Below are 1,830 nucleotides of genomic sequence, written 5' to 3'. Positions count from 1 at the left end.
GACTCGAGTGGAATGAAATGGAATGGAATGGAATGGAATGGACTCTAATGGGATAGAATGGAATTGAATGGACACTAATGGAATGGAATGGAATGGAATGGAATGGAATGGAATGGAATGGAATGGAATGTGCTGGAATGAAATGCTGTTGAATTGAATGGATCCGAAAGGAATGGAAAAGAATGGAATGGAATGGAATGAACCTGAATGGGATGGAATGGAATGGAAAGGACTCTAAAGGAATGGAATGGAATGGAATGGAGTGGAATGGACTCGAATTGAATGGAATGGAATGGAAAAGACTGGACCTCAATGGGATGGAATGGAATGGAAATGACACTAATGGAATAGAATGGAATGGACCCAGATGGAATGGAAAGGAATGGACTCGAAAAGAATGGACTTGAATGGAATGGAATGGATTGGAATGGACTCCAATGGAATGCAATGGAATGGAATGGACTCGAATGGCACCGAATGGAATGGAATGGAATGTAGTGGAATACAATGGAATAGACTGGAATGGAATGGAATGGTATGAAATGGAATGGACTTGAATGGAATAGAATTGAATGGATTGGAATGGACTCGAAAGTAATGGAATGTAATGGACTCGAATGGAATATAATGGACACAAATGCATCGGAATGGAATGGAATGTAATGGACTCGAATGGAATACAATGGAATTTAAGTGAATAGACTATATTGGAATGGAATGGAATGGACTCGAATGGAATACAATGGAATTTAAGTGAATAGACTATATTGGAATGGAATGGAATGGACTCGAATGGAATGGAAAGGAATGGCACCGAATGGAATGGAATGGAATGGAATGTAGTGGAATGCAATGGAATAGACTGGAATGGAATGGAATGGTATGAAATGGAATGGACTTGAATGGAATAGAATTGAATGGATTGGAATGGACTCGAAAGTAATGGAATGTAATGGACTCGAATGGAATATAATGGACACAAATGCATCGGAATGGAATGGAATGTAATGGACTCGAATGGAATACAATGGAATTTAAGTGAATAGACTATATTGGAATGGAATGGAATGGTCTCGAATGGAATAGAACGGGATACACTCGAATGTAATAGAATGCAATGGAATGACCTCGAATGGAATGGAATGGAATATACTGGAATGCAATTAAATGGACTCTAATGCAATGCAGTTGAATTGAATGGTTACGAAAGCAACGGAATAGAATGGAATGGAATGGAATCGAATGGAATGGAAAGAAATGGACTCGAGTGGAATGCAATGGAATGGAATAGACTCGAATGGAATGGAGTGGAAAAGAATGGAATGGACTCGATTGGAATGGAATGGAATGGAATGGACTCGAACTGAATGGAATGGAACGGTAGTAAATGGAACGGAATGGAATGGAGTGTTCACAAATGGAACAGAAAGGAATGGAATAGAATGGAATTTACTTGAATGGGATAGAATAGAATGCAATAGACTCGAATTGAATGGAATGGAGTGGAATGGACTCGTATGGAATGGAATTGAATGGACTCTAATGGAATGGAATGGAATGGAGTGGAATGGAATGGAATGGAATGGACTCGAATGGGATGGAATGGAATTGAGCATAATGGAATTGTATGGAACGGACCCGAATGGAATGAAATGGAATGAAATGTACAAGAATTGAATGAAATGGAATGGATTAGTCTCAAATGGAATTGAATGGAATGGAATGGATTCCAATGGAATGGAATGGAATGGAATTCACTCGAACAGAATGGAGTTGAAGGGACTCGAATGGAATGGAATGGAATGGAATTGAATGGACTGGAATATAATG

This window comes from Homo sapiens, unplaced genomic scaffold (genome assembly GCF_000001405.40).
Source record: "Homo sapiens unplaced genomic scaffold, GRCh38.p14 Primary Assembly HSCHRUN_RANDOM_CTG6".
Classification (NCBI taxonomy): domain Eukaryota; kingdom Metazoa; phylum Chordata; class Mammalia; order Primates; family Hominidae; genus Homo; species Homo sapiens.
This window is presented reverse-complemented; position numbering follows the sequence as displayed.